This window comes from Homo sapiens, chromosome 17, assembly GCF_000001405.40.
Source record: "Homo sapiens chromosome 17, GRCh38.p14 Primary Assembly".
Lineage (NCBI taxonomy): Eukaryota > Metazoa > Chordata > Mammalia > Primates > Hominidae > Homo > Homo sapiens.
In genome coordinates, this window is record NC_000017.11 from 30,006,970 (window position 1) to 30,025,573 (window position 18,604).

At 37.1% G+C, this 18,604-nt stretch overlaps 1 protein-coding gene across 16 annotated transcripts in view, besides 1 other annotated feature; it reads left to right on the forward strand.

Moving 5' to 3' along the window:
- The window catches only part of EFCAB5 (EF-hand calcium binding domain 5), a 178,550-nt gene that overhangs the window by 77,067 nt on the left and 82,879 nt on the right, over positions 1-18,604 (forward strand). The window lies entirely within an intron of this gene.
- Positions 14,742-15,036: a silencer, noted in NCBI's record as "tiled region #15362; HepG2 Repressive non-DNase unmatched - State 12:CtcfO, and K562 Repressive DNase unmatched - State 12:CtcfO". NCBI's record gives its function as "represses a minimal TATA promoter and a strong SV40 promoter by Sharpr-MPRA in HepG2 and K562 cells {active_cell/tissue: HepG2 | K562}" and the evidence as "EXISTENCE:reporter gene assay evidence [ECO:0000049][PMID:27701403]".

An 18,604-nucleotide genomic window follows, 5' to 3' on the forward strand; every position in this document is an offset into this window, starting at 1 on the left:
TTTAGTGTCCATGTAAATTTTGATTTTTACAGAAAGAAGAGTATAGCATGAATTTTTTCAAGAATGTATATATTTTAATACACTACCTATTGTCCTGTTGATAGAAGATAAATCAAAACCAGAAGAATGGAAAACAGTCTTTTTTGTTGTTGTTTTTGCTTTTAGCAAACTCGGCTGCAAATAGCATACACAGTATTAGGTAAAATTTTTTCAGTCATCCCAAGATTTATTAGGGGAAGAAATGGGTAGACAAGCAGTGGATAAATTAGAAGTGGTAAGAAAACCCTAGTTCCATGTGGCTTCTTGTTACTTTGTCTGCTGTTGATGAAGCTGTCATCCCTCCATTATCTTTTCATATTTATTGGGAAATACAATTTAATCTGCCAGACTGAAATGAAAAGATAAATCGAGTATGACTTCTTATTCTTGTTCAGTTGGGAATAAATTTATTCCAGAGTCTTATTTTACTCATAAACTGCCCAAGTAACATCACTGGAGTAAATTTTTAAAAATTACACAAACTATTATTAAGAGAATATTGTAAAAATGAACCCCTCGTTCTTCCCAATTTGTAGAGACAGAGGTCTTCTCTGACCATGTCAGTTTAAAATGTAACTTTTCCTATTCTTCTGTGTGGTTAGAGACTTCTAAACAGGAAGTCCAAACAATCATATTTCCATAATTCCAAGATGAGTGGTTTTCCTTTTGCATCTCTGAAATCAGGGTGCATCATTTAGCCCAGAGTGGTGACCCACACCTGTTATACCACCATTTTGGAAGGCCAAGGCTGGAGGATCGCTTGAGCCTAGGAGTTCAAGACCAGCCCGGGCAACATAGTGGGACCCTGTCTGTACAAAAAATTAAAAACATAGCCAGGCATGGTGGCTCACGCCTGTAATCCCAGCTACTCAGGAGGCTGAGACCTAGGAGGATTGCTTGAGCCTGGGAAGTCAGGCTGCAGTGAACCATGATTGCACCACTGCACTCTGGGCAACAGAGTGAGACCCTGTCTCAAAACAAAAAAACGAAAAGCTGCGTCATTTGATAAAGCAGTATGTTTTCCTCTCTTCCCCAATCCCCCAATCTATTAAGTCAATAGCAATCTAATGATTGATGGGTTTTGCTGATTAAAAAAATAAAAGCTGTACTATATGCATTTTATAAGCTAAACATCTAATATAAAAGGATGAAAAAAGATGAAAATAAGAAAATTGTTAAAGGAATAGCAGATACATTAAATAAACAAGTAAATAAACAAAAAGCAGATTTCAAGGTTAAAAATCATTTAATGAGATCAAGACTATTTTTTATATTTGTAAATGTGAAAATTTTATATTTTAAGGCTGGGTGAGGTGGCTCACGCCTGTAATCCCAGCACTTTGGGAGGCCGAGGCAGGCAGACCGTTGGAGGTCAAGAGTTCAAGACCAGCCTGGCCAACATGGTGAATCCTGTCTCTACCAAAAATACAAAAATTAGCTGGGCATAGTGGCATGTGCCTGTAGTCCCAGCTACTTGGGAGGCTGAGGCAGGAGAATCACTTGAACCCAGGAGACAGGTTGCAGCGAGCTGAGATCATGCCACTGCACTCCAGCCTGGGTGACAGAGCAAGACTCCATCTCAAAAAAAAAAAATTTTTTTATATTTTAAAATTTAAAATTAATGAAGTTAATAGGACTCTCTTAAGCTTTATGAGTTTATAGCACATTGTAATAGAATATATAAAAATATAAATAAAAGGTAAAAAATTTACAATAATTGTGCAGATTTTTAAACTTTTTTTGGTAGCAGCTTTATTCAGATATAATTTACAAACTGCATTTATTTCCTGTGGCTGCTGTAGCAAATTACTGCAAACTTGGTTGCTGAAAACAGCAGACATTTATTTTCTCACAGCTCTGGAGGCCAGAAGTCCAAGATCAGTATCACTGGGCCAAAATGAAGGTGCTGGCAGGGCTGCACTTCTCTCAGGAGGGTCTGTGGAAGAATTTGTTCCTTGGCTCTTCCAACTTCTGGTGGCTGTTGGCATTCCTTTACTTGTGGCTGCATCACCAGTCCCTGTCTTTGTGGTCACATTGCCTTTTCTTCTCCTGTCTGAGAAATCTCCTTCTTAAAAGGATATATGTGATTGCATTTTAGGGTCTACCTAGATAATTTAGGATAATCTCCCCATCTCAAAATCCTTAATCACATCTGCAAAGACTCTTTTCCCATATAAGGAAGCATTTACAGATCCAGGGATTAGGACTTTACATCTTCGAGAGCCATTATCCAACCTACTATACCTACCTTATACCCATTTAAAGTGTACAATTGAATGGGCTTTAGTATATTTGCAGAGGAGTACAACCATTAAAACAATCCATTTTAGAACATTTTCACCCACAAAAGAAACTTCATACCCATTAGCAGTCACTCCCCATTTCCTTCCAAACCTCCAGCCCTAGGCAGCCACAAATCTCTTTCTGTCTCCATAGCTTTGTCTATTCTGAACATTTCATATATATGGAATATACAATATGTGGTCTTTTGTTTTTGGCTTCTTGTACTTGTCATAATGTCTTCAAGGTTACTCCATGTTGTAGCATGTATCAGTACTTCATTTCTTTTTATTGCCAAATGATATTCCTTTTTATGAACATACTACCTTTTATTTATCCACTCATCAGTTGGTGGACATTTCGGTTGTTTTCATTTTTTGGCTACTGTAAATAATACCACTATGAACATTTGTGCCTAAGTTTTTACATGAATATGTGTTTTCTGTTCTCTTGGGAGTGGAATTGTTGGGTCATGTGATAACTTTGTGTTTAACCTTTTGAGGAACTGCCAGATTGTTTTCTTTTCTTTTTTTTTTGTTATACTTTAAGTTCTAGGGTACATGTGCACAACATGCAGGTTTGTTACATATGTATACATGTGCCGTGTTGGTTTGCTGCACCCATTAACTCGTCATTTGCATTAGGTATTTCTCCTAATGCTATCCCTCCTCCATCCCCCGACCCCATGACAGGCCCCGGTGTGTAATGTGTCCTATGTCCAAGTGTTCTCATTGTTCAATTCCCACCTATGAGTGAGAACATGCGGTGTTTGGTTTTCTGTCCTTGTGATAGTTTGCTCAGAATGATGGTTTCCAGCTTCATCCATGTCCCTACAAAGGACATGAGCTCATCTTTTTTTATGGCTGCATAGTATTCCATGGTATATATGTGCCACATTTTCTTAATCCAGTCTATCATTGATGGATATTTGGGTTGGTTCCAAGTCCTTGGTATTGTGAATAGTGCCGCAATAAACATACGTGTGCATGTGTCTTTATAGTAGCATGATTTATAATCCTTTGGGTATATACCCAGTAATGGGATCACTGGGTCAAATGATATTTCTAGTTCTAGATCCTTGAAGAATTGCCACACTGTCTTCCACAATGGTTGAACTAGTTTACACTCCTACCAACAGTGTAAAAGTGTTCCTATTTCTCCACATCCTCTCCAGCACCTGTTGTTTCCTGACGTTTTAATGATCACCATTCTAACTGGTGTGAGATGGTATCTCATTGTGGTTTTGATTTGCATTTCTCTGATGACCAGTGATGATGAGCATTTTTTCATGTCTGTTGGCTGCATAAATGTCTTCTTTTGAAAAGTGTCTGTTCATATCCTTTGCCCACTTTTTGATGCAGTTGTTTGATTTTTTCTTGTAAATTTGTTTAAGTTTTTTGTAGATTCTGGATGTTAGCCCTTTGTCAGATGGGTAGATTGCAAAAATTTTGTCCCGTTCTGTAGGTTACCTGTTCACTTTGATGGTAGTTTCTCTGGCTGTGCAGAAGCTCTTTAGTTTAATTAGATCCCATTTGTCTATTTTGGCTTTTGTTGCCATTGCTTTTGGTGTTTTATTCATGAAGTCCTTGCCCATGCCTATGTCCTGAATGGTAATGCCTAGGTTTTCTTCTAGGGTTTTTATGGTTTTAGGTCTAACATTTAAGTATTTAATCCATCTTGAATTAATTTTTGTAAGGAAGGGATTCAGTTTAAGCTTTCTACATGTGGCTAGCCAGTTTTCCCAGCACCATTTATTAAATAGGGAATCCTTTCCCCATTTCTTGTTTTTGTCAGGTTTGTCAAAGATCAGATGGCTGTAGATATGTGGATGTGTGGTGTTATTTCTGAGGCCTCTGTTCTGTTCCATTGGTCTATATATCTGTTTTGGTACCAGTACCATGCTGTTTTGCTTACTGTAGCCTTGTAGTATAGTTTGAAGTCAGGTAGCATGATGCCTCCAGCTTTGTTCTTTTGGCTTAGGATTGTCTTGGCGATGCAGGCTCTGTTTTGATTCCATATGAACTTTAAAGTAGTTTTTTCCAATTCTGTGAAGAAAGTTATTGGTAGCTTGATGGGGATGGCACTGAATCTATAAATTACCTTGGGCAGTATGGCCATTTTCACGATATTGATTCTTCCTATCCATGAGCATGGAATGTTCTTCCATTTGTTTGTGCCCTCTTTTATTTCATTGAGCAGTGGTTTGTGGTTCTCCTTGAAGAGGTCCTTCACATCCCTTGTAAGTTGGATTCCTAGGTATTTTATTCTCTTTGTAGCAATTGTGAATGGGAGTTCACTCATGATTTGGCTCTCTGTTTGTCTGTTATTGGTGTATCAGAATGCTTGTGATTTTTGCAGATTGATTTTTGTATCCTGAGACTATGCTGAAGTTGGTTATCAGCTTAAGGAGATTTTGGGCTGAGACGATGGGGTTTTCTAAATATACAATCGTGTCATCTGCAAACAGGGACTATTTGACTTCCTCTTTTCCTAATTGAATACTGTGGGTGGCAAGCCACCCAGGTGCCAAGGCAAGAGACCGAGGACGCGAGCTGTTCCAGTATAATAAAATATAAAACAAGAATAGTTATACCATATATAGATCTTAGATATGATTATATATGAATATAATTAATCATTAGTAGTACTTATTCTTTATTCCAATATTGTAATAATCCTCGCTCTATAATCATAACCTAGGAAAAACCAGGCCATACAGAGATAGGAGCTGAGGGGACATAGTGAGGAGTGACCAGAAGACAAGAGTGCGAGCCTTCTGTTATGCCCAGACAGGGCCACCAGAGGGCTCCTTGGTCTAGTGGTAACGCCAGCGTCTGGGAAGACGCCCATTGCCAGGCAGACCGTGGTCTAGCAGTAGCGTAAGTGTCAAGGAAAAACACCTGCTACTTAGCAGATCGGGAAAGGGAGTCTCCCTTTCCCAGGGGGAGTTTGGAGAAGACTCTACTCCTCCACCTCTTGTGAAGGGGCTGACATTAGTCAGGCTCGCCCGCAGTTGTCTGGAGGCCTAACTGTCTCCCTGTGATGCTGTGCTTCAGTGGTCACGCTCCTAGTCCGCCTTCATGTTCCATCCTGTACACCTGGCTCTGCCTTCTAGATAGCAGTAGCAAATTAGTGAAAGTACTAAAAGTCTCTAATAATGGTGTAAGTTGTTTCTCTCTTTGTCTCCTCTCTCTCTCTGCCTCGGCTGCCAGGCAGGGAAGGGCCCCCTGTCCAGTGGACACATGACCCACATGGCCTTACCTATCACTGGAGATGGCTCACTCTCCTTATCCTGCCCCTTTGTCTTATATCCAATAAATATCAGTGCAGCCTGGTATTTGGGGCCACTACTGGTCTCCGCGACTTGGTGGTAGTGGTCCCCCGGGCCCAGTTGTCTTTTCTTTTATCTCTTTGTCTTGTGTCTTTATTTCTACACTCTCTCGTCTCTGCACATGGGGAGAGACCCGCCGACCCTGTGGGACTGGTCCCTACAGAATACCTTTTATTTCTTTCTCTTGCCTGATTGCCCTGGCCAGAACTTCCAACACTATGTTGAATAGGAGTGGTGAGAGAGGGCATCCCTGTCTTATGCCAGTTTTCAAAGGGAATGCTTCCAGTTTTTGCCCATTCAGTATGATATTGGCTGTGGGTTTGTCATAAATAGCTCTTATTATTTTGAGATACATCCCATCAATACCTAGTTTATTGAGAGTTTTTAGCACAAAGGCTGTTGAATTTTGTCGAAGGCCTTCTCTGCATCTATTGACATAATCATGTGGTTTTGTCTTCGGTTCTGTTTAGCTGATGGATTACGTTTATTGATTTGTGTATGTTGAACCAGTCTTGCATCCCAGGGATGAAGCCAACTTGATCTTGGTGGATAAGCTTTTTGATGTGCTGCTGGATTCGGTTTGCCAGTATTTTATTCAGGATTTTCGCATTGATGTTCATCAGGGATATTGGTCTAAAATTCTCTTTTTTTGTTGTGTCTCTGCCAGGCTTTGGTATCAGGATGATGCTGGCCTCATAAAATGAGTTAGGGAGGATTCCCTCTTTTTCTATTGATTGGAATAGTTTCAGAAGGAATGGTACCAGCTCCTCTTTGTACCTCTGGTAGAATTCGGCTGTGAATCCATCTGGTCCTGGACTTTTTTTGGTTGGTAAGCTATTAATTGTTGCCTCAATTTCAGAGCCTGTTATTGGTCTATTCAGAGATTCAACTTCTTCCTGGTTTAGTCTTGGGAGGGTGTATGTGTCCAGGAATTTATCCATTTCTTCTAGATTCCCTAGTTTATTTGCATAGAGGTGTTTATAGTATTCTCTGATGGTAGTCTGTATTTCTGTGGGATCAGTGGTGATATCCCCTTTATCATTTTTTATTGCGTCTATTTGATTCTTCTCTCTTTTCTTCTTTATTAGTCTTGCTAGCGGTCTATCAATTTTGTTGATCTTTTCAAAAAACCAGCTCCTGGATTCGTTGATTTCTTTGAAGAGTTTTTGTGTCTCTAGCTCCTTCAATTCTGCTCTGATCTTAGCTATTTCTTGCCTTCTGCTAGCTTTTGAATTTGTTTGCTCTTGCTTCTCTAGTTCTTTTAATTGTGATGTTAGGGTGTCGATTTTAGATCTTTCCTGCTTTCTCTTGTGGGCATTTAGTGCTATAAATTTCCCTCTACACACTGCTTTAAGTGTGTCCCAGAGATTCTGGCATGTTGTGTCTTTGTTCTCATTGGTTTCAAAGAACATCTTTATTTCTGCCTTCATTTCGTTATGTACCCAGTCGTCATTCAGGAGCAGGTTGTTCAGTTTCCACGTAGTTGTGTGGTTTTGAGTGAGTTTCTTAATCCTGAGTTCTCATTTGATTGCACTGTGGCCTGAGAGACAGACTGTTGTGATTTCTGTTCTTTAACATTTGCTGAGGAGTGCTTTACTTCCAACTGTGTGGTCAATTTTGGAATAAGTGCAATGTGGTGCTGAAAAGAATGTACATTCTGTTGATTTGGGGTGGAGAGTTCTGTAGATGTCTATTAGGTCTGCTTAGTGCAGAGCTGAGTTCAAGTCCTGGATATCCTTGTTAACCTGTCTCGTTGATCTGTCTAATATTGACAGTGGGGTGTTAAAGTCTCCCATTATTATTGTGTGGGAGTCTAAGTGTCTTTTTAGGTCTCTAAGGACTTGCTTTATGAATCTGGGTGTTCCTGTATTGAGTGCATATGTATTTAGGATAGTTAGCTCTTCTTGTTGAATTGAACCCTTTACCATTATATAATGACCTTCTTTGTCCCTTTTGATCTTTGTTGATTTAAAGTCTGTTTTATCAGAAAGTAGGATTGCAACCCCTGCTTTTTTTTGCTTTCCATTTGCTTGGTAGATCTTCCTCCATCCCTTTATTTTGAGTCCATGTGTGTCTCTGCACGTGAGATGGGTCTCCTGAGTACAGCACACTGATGGGCCTTGACTCTATCCAATTTGCCAGTCTGTGTCTTTTAATTGGAGCATTTAGCCCATTTACATTTAAGGTTAATATTGTTATGTGTGAATTTGATCCTGTCATTATGATGTTAGCTGGTTATGTTGCCTGTTAGTTGATGCAGTTTCTTCCTAGCCTCGATGGTCTTTACAATTTGGCATGTTTTTGCAGTGGCTGGTACTGGTTGTTCCTTTCCGTGTTTAGTGCTTCCTTCAGGAGCTCTTGTAAGGCAGGCCTGGTGGTGACAAAATCTCTCAGCATTTGCTTGTCTGTAAAGGATTTTATTTCTCCTGCACTTATGAAGCTTAGTTTGGCTGGATATGAAATTCTGGCTTGAAAATTCTTTTCTTTAAGAATGTTGAATATTGGCCCCCACACTCTTCTGGCTTGTAGGGTTTCTGCTGAGAGATCTGCTGTTAGTATGATGGGCTTCCCTTTGTGGGTAACCCGACTTTTCTCTCTGGCTGCCCTTAGCATTTTTCCGTCATTTCAACCTTGGTAAATCTGACAATTATGTGTCTTGGCTTTGCTCTTCTCGAGGAGTATCTTTGTGGTGTTCTCTGTATTTCCTGAATTTGAATGTTGGCCTGCCTTGCTAGGCTGGGGAAGTTTTCCTGGATAATACCCTGAAGAGTGTTTTCCAGCTTGGTTCCATTCTCCCCGTCACTTTCAGGTACACCAATCAAATGTAGATTTGGTCTTTTCACATAGTCCCATATTTATTTGAAGATCAAATTAATGAAATGAAGCGAGAAGAGAAGTTTAGAACAATGCCAGACTGTTTTCTACTGTAGTTGCACCATTTTACATTCCCACCAGCGGTTTACAAGGGTTGCAATTGTTTCACATCCTTGCCAACACTTATTCTCTGTTTTGTTTTTTATTATAGCCATCTTTATGGGCATGAAGTGGTAGCACATTGTGCTTTTGAAATGCATTTCCCTGATGGCTAAAAATGATTTTGAGCACCTTTTCATGTTCTTATTGTTCTTATTGGTTATTTCTTTTTTTTTTTTTTTTTCTTTTGAGGTGGAGTCTCGCTCTGTTGCCCAGGTTGGAGTGCAATGGTGCAACTGGCTCACTGCAACCTCTGCCTCACTGCAACCTCTGCCTCCCAGGTCCAAACGATTCTCCTGCCTCAGCTTTCCAAGTAGCTGGGATTACAGGTGCTTGCCACCACGCCCAGCTAATTTTTGTATTTTTAGTAGAGACAGGGTTTTTCCATGCTGGCCAGGCTGGTCTCAAACTCCCAACTTATTGGTCATTACTATATCTGCTTTGGAAAAAAATGTTTATTCAGATCTCATTTTAAAATTGGGTTGTCTTTTTATTATTGGATCATAACTGTTCTTTATATATTCAATCCTTTATCAAATATGTGATTTGCAAGTATTTTCTCCCATTCTGTGGGTTGTTTTTTAACTTTCTTGATGGTGTTATCTGAAGCACAAAAGTTTTAAATTTTTATGAAGCACAAAAGTTTTAAATTTTTATGAAGCCCAATTTGTCTATTTTTTTTCTTTTGTTGATTTTGCTTTTGATGTCATATCAAAAAACCATTGCCTAATTCAAGGTCATATATTCCTGTGTTTTCTTCTGAGAGTTTTATAGTTTTAGCTTTTACATTTATGTCTGTTTAAGTCTTTGATCCACTTTGAGTTAATTTTTGTCTATGGTGTGAGGTAGTAAAACTTTTTAAAAGTCTTTGATAAACTGAAGAGGTAAGAAACAAATAAGAATATAAAGAACCTATTAATATCAATAACTCATTATATGTGTATATTGAACTTTAATCCTTACAGTGACCCTCTTCCAATTTTCATAAAATTTTGGTCAAAATTCATTGACAATAGGCCACAAAGATTGCCTTATAAGTTCCAAAAGGTAGAAATATGACATGGTATATTCTTTTCTTATTATGTAATACAATTGGAAAACAATAAACTTAAAAATTAAGTCCAACCATTTGAAAATATTTAAAAAACTCTCCTCAATAACTTTTGGATCAAAATCTTATATCTAATTTTATGGAATGCTACTAAATGTGTACTCAGATGAGAAATTATAATCTTAAAACTTTTAAATGAGATAGGATGAGGAATTTTTGAAACACAGATAAATACAAAACAATAGAATAACAGCCAGCCACAGTGGCTCATACCTATAATCCCAGCACTTTGGGAGGCTTAGGTGGGAGGATCTCTTGAGCCCCAGGAGTTTGAGACCAGCCTGGGCAACATAGGAAGACCTGTCTCTACAAAAAATTTAAAAATTAGCTTGGCACAATGGCACGCACCTTTAGTCCCAGCTACTCAAGAGGTTGAGGTGGGAGTACCGCTTGAGCTCGGGAGGTTGCAGCTATAGTGAGCCGTGATCATGCCACTGCACTCCAGCCTGGGTGACAGAGCGAGAACGTGTCTCAAAAAAAGAAAAAAAAATCAATCCAAAAACCAACCAAACAAAAAACCACACAAAAAATAGAATAACAATATGCATATTACCGTCACCCAGAATTAAATCTTGTTACTTTGGCATATTTTTCTAAGGAAAATTATTCAATGTTGTAAAAGTGATACAGGACCATTAAAAAGAATCCAAACAACACATAAAAGTGCAAAGATGAGAATTTTTAAATCATCATTAATTTCTTAGGTGAACATCAAAACAGGTTTATATACTACGCCACTACAGATAGATGGGTACATAGCAAGTAGATGATCATAAATAGTTACAAGCATTTGATTACTTAGAAAATAAAAATATAATTGTACTTGACTCCAACAGAGGAAAAAGACACTAAAGTGAAAATAAGGGAATTACCGAAATTAAACATACCTTCACAAAATTTATTCTAAAGACATTCTAAGAAATAACTATACATATCTGTATATCTCTATAGCAATATATATCACAAAAGAGTGCAGTCATTTTTTAAAACTACATATTTTAATTTTGGAAATAACAATTGATATCCTACCATAAAAGATGAGAGTATTTAATATTTTCTCATATCTTTCTTTTTGTCTATTTCCCAGTTTTAGTTATTTTATAATTTTTATTTTATCCAGATTTACACTATTCACCTTCTTTTCTGTAATTACAATTGCCATAGTTGATTAATCTTAATTCAATATTTAAATGGATCCAAGGCTCATTTCCTGTCCTTTTACAATGTGTTTTGCTATTCCCAAATTATTTATTTTGATTCATCTCTTACTTGGCTGAATTTATTGTAGTTTTTTAAAGAAGATCACATGGGTGCTATATTTTCTGAGTTCTTATATATTGAGAATGTCTGCCTACACAGTGCCTTTATACCTAAACCATACCTTGAATGGTATACTGTAATTGGGTCACTTTTTTTTTCACCTAAAACAACATAAACATTGCTTAATTGTTTCCTGGTATTGAATGTTGTGGAGAAGTCTGATGTCAGTGTTTTTTTTTTTCTTCATTCATTTTAATTAGTTCAAAAAATATTTTATTGATTGCCAGGCATTGTTCTATGTTCTGTTATTAAAACACTGGAAAAAAAGAAAACAGAAAACAGAAAAGTCAGTGTCTTCCTGTTGCTTATTTTGTAGGTGACTTGGTTGTTAGCTTGAAGTTCATCCTCAAAGTTAAAGAGTTTAAGTAGAATTGTCTTGGTATAGAGCATTTTGTTTTAAAAATGTATTGAATATGGTGTGATCTTTTGATTTTTATTGTTTTTTTTTCATTTCAGGAACATTTTCTCATGTCTTTGAATACATCTTATATTCTATTTTTGGACTGCCTACATTAGGGAAACTAAATATCCTTATGTAGGATTAGATTTGTTCTTTCTAATTTTATTAATTTTCTTGTCTTTTCACCTGAATTCACTGTGATAATCTAAACCTTTCTCTCTGTCAATAATTCCATTTTATGATGCTTGCGCTTTTAAATTTTGATGCTCAATTTGGCTGCTTACACCTAAACTCTACCCTTTTATCTCATTCTGCTGTTTCATCAGCTTGTCTTTGAGTTCTTGTCATATTGAATCTGTGTTCCTATTAAGTTGTTCTATAGCTTAAAGCAATGGCGAGGAACTTTTTTTGTTTTTTAGCTATTTTTTGCTAGATTGAGTTTATCTATTTGCTTTTATTCTCCCTGTGTTGTTTGCACAGTTGCCACAATCCTATGTTACTTCTTTTTGTAGTCCTTGTGCTTGCATGATCCTGCCCTAATTTCTATTTATTCTGATATGGTATGGATGCTTTCTTGACTTTCTTCCTAGCCTGACACCAGTTTGTTTTCACTTTGAATCTTCAGTTTAGAGGCTTGACATTTTCTTTTCTGGTGACTCTTCTGATTCCTCCTGTTAGAGTAAGAGAGGAAGAGAAGAGGAAAGTGCCTCTGGAACAAATGCAGTCTTTGTAAGCATGCCTGGGCTTTGTATTCTGTTTTATTCCATCCATTTATTCATTTATTTATTCAATAAATATGTTTGCTCTTATTTATAATGAACATTCTGATAAATACCAAGCTGAAGAGTTTCCCTCTATGCTTAATTTAATTGAGTGTTTTTAAAGCAAAAATTGATTTTGAGTATTATCAAAAGGCTTATTTTATTTATTGAGTAATCATATGATTATATTGATTTATTCTATTAATATAATGAATTAGATCAACAAATTCCCAAATATTGAACCATCCCTCTCTCCCTCTCTCTTTTTTTTTTTTTTTGAGATGGAGTTTCACTCTTGTCGCCCAGGCTGGAGTGCAGTGGTGTGATCTCAGCTCACTGCAACCTCCGCCTTCCTGGTTCAAGCAATTCTCCAGCCTCAGCATCCTGAGTAGCTGGGATTACAAGTGCCTGCCATCACACCTGGCTAATTTTTGTATTTTTAGTAGAGACGGGGTTTTCCCATATTGGCCAGGCCGGTCTTGAACTCCTGACCTCAGGTGATCCACACACCTCGGCCTCCCAAAGTGCTAGGATTACAGGCGTGAGCCACCGTGCCCAGCCCATCCCTCTGTTTCTAGAATAAGCCTCAGTCATGCATATTTTAGAAGAATTCCTAAAATCAGTCTTTTAATTCTCAGTTGTGCTTTTGTTCTTCATCTATTATTCAGCGCCTCTATTTAGTTTATTTTTATCAACATTTTTAATTGACAAATTATAATACGTGTATTTATGTACAACGGGATGTTTATATATATAAAATGTAGAATGATTAAATCAAGCTAATTAACATATTCATCATCTCACATCATTTTTCAAGATTTTACATATGTGAGATCGTGTTGTATTTGTCTTTCTGTACTTGGCTTATTTCACTTAGCATAATGTCTTCCAAGTTTATCCATGTTGTCACAAATGACAACATTTCCTTCTTTTTTAAGGCCAAATTATATTCCATTGTGTATATACACCACATTTAATCTACTCATTGTTAATGAATACTTAGATGGTTCCATATATTGGCTATTGTGAATAATACTGCAAAGAATATTAGAGTACAGATTTCTTTTTGGCATAGTCTCTATTTAGTTAAAAATTGTGTTATAATTGTTATTTCTATGAATATTTTCCTTCTTTCGGCTTAGTTTAAGTTGGATTTTACCTATGCACTATTCTTTTTTTTTTTTTCTTTTTTTTTTTTGAGACAGAGTCTCTCTCTGTTGCCCAGGCTTGAATGCAATGGCATGATCTCGATTCACTGCAACCTCCGCCTTCCAGGTTCAAGCAATTCTCCTGCCTCAGCCTCCCGAGTAGCTGGGATTACAGGCGTGTGCCACCATGCACAGCTAATTTTTGTATTTTTAGTAGAGGCCAAGTTGGCCAGGCTGGTCTCAAACTCCTGACCTCAGGTGACCCACCCGCCTCGGCCTCCCTAAGTGATGGGATTACAGGTGTGAGCCACTGTGCCTGGCCCACATATGCACTATTCTTAAAATCTGTAGTATGTAGTCTTGTTTATAATTATACTCTGAGACCCTATAAAGAGACATCCCAAGATAATATGAATTCATCTTTCATGTGATGGCAGTTGACTCTCATCCTCCACAGCAGGCTCAAGCCTGACCTTCCAATAAGGTGACTCTGAACCAGTGCAATTAAATTTTTTGGACCCCACTGTGGTCACTTTTTAATGTGTATGCCAGCTGTTGGGGTTACAGAGGTAAGTGAGGAGACAAACAGGCAAATAATTACAAATTATTGTATCAGCATGTCAGAGGAGGAACATTAACAGAGTAGGTGAGCCAAGATGTCTCAGATAATATATATAGCTGGGTCTTAATATGTATGTAGCTGGACAGATGTAGGAAAAGCAGAAAGGCTTTCCAGGAAGGAACAACATGTAAAAAGACATAAAGGTCTGAAAGAGTATGGTTTGTCTACATGATAGGAAATAATTTTTTTTTTTTTACTAGGATGTGAGGAATATGACTGGGGAAGGATGAGAAATAAGAGAGGAAAGTTAGGTTAGAACTCCATCTACAAAGATATTATATAGAATGCTAATGAGTTTATATAAGTACTATTAGGTATATATCACCTTTACCCCATTTTCTCCTTTGTGTCATTTTTTATATATATAACATATAAATATTTAATAAATATGGTATATATTATATGTAAATATATAAATATTTTTACATTTATATAAAATATGAGCATGTATTTGTGTGTTGTTATATATAATATAATGTTTATTAAATATTTATATATAAATATATATAATACATGTATATAAAACAACACACAAATGAGAAAATGGAGTGATATACATTATTTATTTTATATATATAAACAAATATAATTTTGTTTTAATGGATGGCTTGATCTAATTAATATTAGTTTTCCTGAAATTTCCCACTTTCTCTTCTTGAAGTGCAAACAGCACACAATCAGACACTTTCATTATAAAGAAGAGCTGTTACCTGAACAGAAACAAGAAAGTATTTCTTACATAGAAATATTTATTGAAAGTTTTTAGTTATCTCACCAACAAATCATTGGGCCATCCCATATGACATAGAAGTAGTGTTTGGAGCACTTGCTTTCAAAGAGATTGCTTTAAAGCTATCTTATCAGTACTCATTTAACGAAACTGGAAGATAATGTAATAATAAATGTTGGGCTTGAAGTAGAGATGTTACACACAGGTGCCGCCTAGTGGAGATACTATGTCATACAATTGCCCCTCAGATCATTTGTAAAGAGCAATGTAATTAGTACTCAGGATGGAGTATGGAGAAAACTGAGTCACTGAGTAATAATTAATATAGAGAAAAAGAGAAATGGAGAGAATGAATGTCACAGATGCCTTCATATTCCTACCATTTTCCTAGCGTATCTGTTTTCTGATGGATAAATGAACAGGTGATAATCTGTTTGTTGACTGTGACCTCTCTCACTTTTCATCTGTTTTATCATAGTAAATGAAGACCCAAAGTAACTACTTTAGAATGTTTACTTCTGGTCTCTTAGTTATTAAGAAAATAAAAAATATTTACTCAATACAATAATGCATTGTTGTATGGGAGTGTGTCTGTAGGTATATGCAGGAATTTATTTCCCCGTCTGAGGGTTGGAGACACACATGTGCACAGACATACTGGATTGGACTAGGGTAGAACCAGAGAAGGAGAGGATCAAAATATTAGTAAATTAAGGACACATGCAGGCACGCACACAAGCACGTGCACACAAACACACACATATAATTACAAAGCAATGAACAGACGGCAATGAACAGATGCAAACATTATAAACTAGTATATTCATTGCTGCTGAGGGATGCATAGCAGAAGAAAAGTGAGACTTCAGCAGGGTGGGTTAAGTGTAGGAAACTCGTCTGGTGGTCGTGAGTTTTAATTTTCTTCCACCTTCCACTTTGTTTCCTTACTTCAGAAAGAACCTTAAGAACAATGTTTTCAAAATTCATATACTGACGGAAACAATTTAAAAGGTAGAATATACTGGTTTATTTTGTTTTGTTTTATAAGTCAAGTGTTTAGAAATATGTTTTAGGACTATATCAGGTTTGTTTTAAATTATCAGAACACTAGCAAATGTAAAAGAACAGAAATTATAACAAACTATCTCTCGGACCACAGTGCAATCAAACTAGAACTCAGGATTAAGAAACTCACTCAAAACCACTCAACTAAATGGAAACTGAACAACTTGCTCCTGAATGACTACTGGGTACATAACGAAATGAAGGCAGAAATAAAGATGTTCTTTGAAACCAACGAGAACAAAGACACAACATACCAGAATCTCTGGGACACATTCAAAGCAGTGTGTAGAGGGAAATTTATAGCACTAAATGCCCACAAGAGAAAGCAGGAAAGATCCAAAATTGACACCCTAACATCACAATTAAAAGAACTAGAAAAGAAAGAGCAAACACATTCAAAAGCTAGCAGAAGGCAAGAAATAACTAAAATCAGAGCAGAACTGAAGGAAATAGAGACAAAAAAAACCCTTCAAAAAATTAATGAATCCAGGAGCTGGTTTTTTGAAAGGATCAACAAAATTGATAGAGCACTAGCAAGACTAATAAAGAAAAAACGAGAGAAGAATCAAATAGACGCAATAAAAAATGATAAAGGGGATATCACCACCGATCCCACAGAAATACAAACTACCATCAGAGAATACTACAAACACCTCTACTCAAATAAACTAGAAAATCTAGAAGAAATGGATAAATTCCTCGACACATACACTCTCCCAAGACTAAACCAGGAAGAAGTTGAATCACTGAATAGACCAATAACAGGCTCTGAAATTGTGGCAATAATCAATAGCTTACCAACCAAAAAGAGTCCAGGACCAGATGGATTCGCTGCCGAATTCTACCAGAGGTACAAGGAGGAACTGGTACCATTCCTTCTGAAACTATTCCAATCAATAGAAAAAGAGGGAATCCTCCCTAACTCATTTTATGAGGCCAGCATCATCCTGATACCAAAGCCGGGCAGAGACACAACAAAAAAAGAGAATTTTAGACTAATATCCTTGATGAACATTGATGCAAAAATCCTGAATAAAATACTGGCAAACCGAATCCAGCAACACATCAAAAAGCTTATCCACCATGATCAAGTGAGCTTTATCTCTGGGATGCAAGGCTGGTTCAATATATGCAAATCAATAAATGTAATCCAGCATATAAACAGAACTGAAGACAAAAGCCACATGATTATCTCAATAGATGCAGAAAAGGCCTTTGACAAAATTCAACAACCCTTCATGCTAAAAACTCTCAATAAATTAGGTACTGATGGGACGTATCTGAAAATAATAAGAGCTATCTATGACAAACCCACAGCCAATATCATACTGAATGGGCAAAAACTGGAAGCATTCCCTCTGAAAACTGGCATAAGACAGGGATGCCCTCTCTCACCACTCCTATTCAACATAGTGTTGGAAGTTCTGGCCAGGGCAATTAGGCAGGAGAAGGAAATAAAGGGTATTCAATTAGGAAAAGAGGAAGTCAAATTGTCCCTGTTTGCAGATGACATGATTGTATATCTAGAAAACCCCATTGTCTCAGCCCAAAATCTCCTTAAGCTGATAAGCAACTTCAGCGAAGTCTCAGGATACAAAATCAATGTACAAAAATAACAAGCATTCTTATACACCAATAACAGACAAAAAGAGAGCCAAATCATGAGTGAACTCCCATTCACAATTGCTTCAAAGAGAATAAAAGTACTTAGGAATCCAGCTTACAAGGGATGTGAAGGACCTCTTCAAGGAGAACTACAAACCACTGCTCAATGAAATAAAAGAGGATATAAACAAATGGAAGAACATTCCATGCTCATGGGTAGGAAGAATCAATATCATGAAAATGGCCATACTGCCCAAGGTAATTTATAGATTCAATGCCATCCCCATCAAGCTACCAATGACTTTCTTCACAGAATTGGAAAAAACTACTTTAAAGTTCATATGGAACCAAAAAAGAGCCCGCATCGCCAAGTCAATCCTAAGCCAAAAGAACAAAGCTGGAGGCATCATGCTACCTGACTTCAAACTATACTACAAGGCTACAGTAAGCAAAACAGCGTGGTACTGGTACCAAAACAGAGATATAGATCAATGGAACAGAACAGAGCCCTCAGAAATAACGCCGCATATCTACAACTATCTGATCTTTGACAAACCTGAGAAAAACAAGCAATGGGGAAAGGATTCCCTATTTAATCAATGGTGCTGGGAAAACTGGCTAGCCATATGTAGAAAGCTGAAACTGGATCCCTTCCTTACACCTTATACAAAAATTAATTCAAGACGGATTAAAGACTTAAACGTTAGACCTAAAACCATAAAAACCCTAGAAGAAAACCTAGGCATGACCATTCAGGACATAGGCATGGGCAAGGACCAAAAGCAATGGCAACAAAAGCCAAAATTGACAAATGGGATCTAATTAAACTAAAGAGCTTCTGCACAGCAAAAGAAACTACCATCAGAGTGAACAGGCAACCTACAAAATGGGAGAAAATTTTCGCAACCTACTCATCTGACAAAGGGCTAATATCCAGAATCTACAATGAACTCAAACAAATTTACAAGAAAAAAACAAACAAACCCATCAAAAAGTGGGCAAAGGGTATGAACAGACACTTCTCAAAAGAAGACATTTATGCAGCCAAAAGACACATGAAAAAATGCTCATCATCACTGGCCATCAGAGAAATGCAAATCAAAACCACAATGAGATACCATCTCACACCAGTTAGAATGGCAATCATTAAAAAGTCAAGAAACAACAGGTGCTGGAGAGGACGTGGAGAAATAGGAACACTTTTACACTGTTGGTGGGA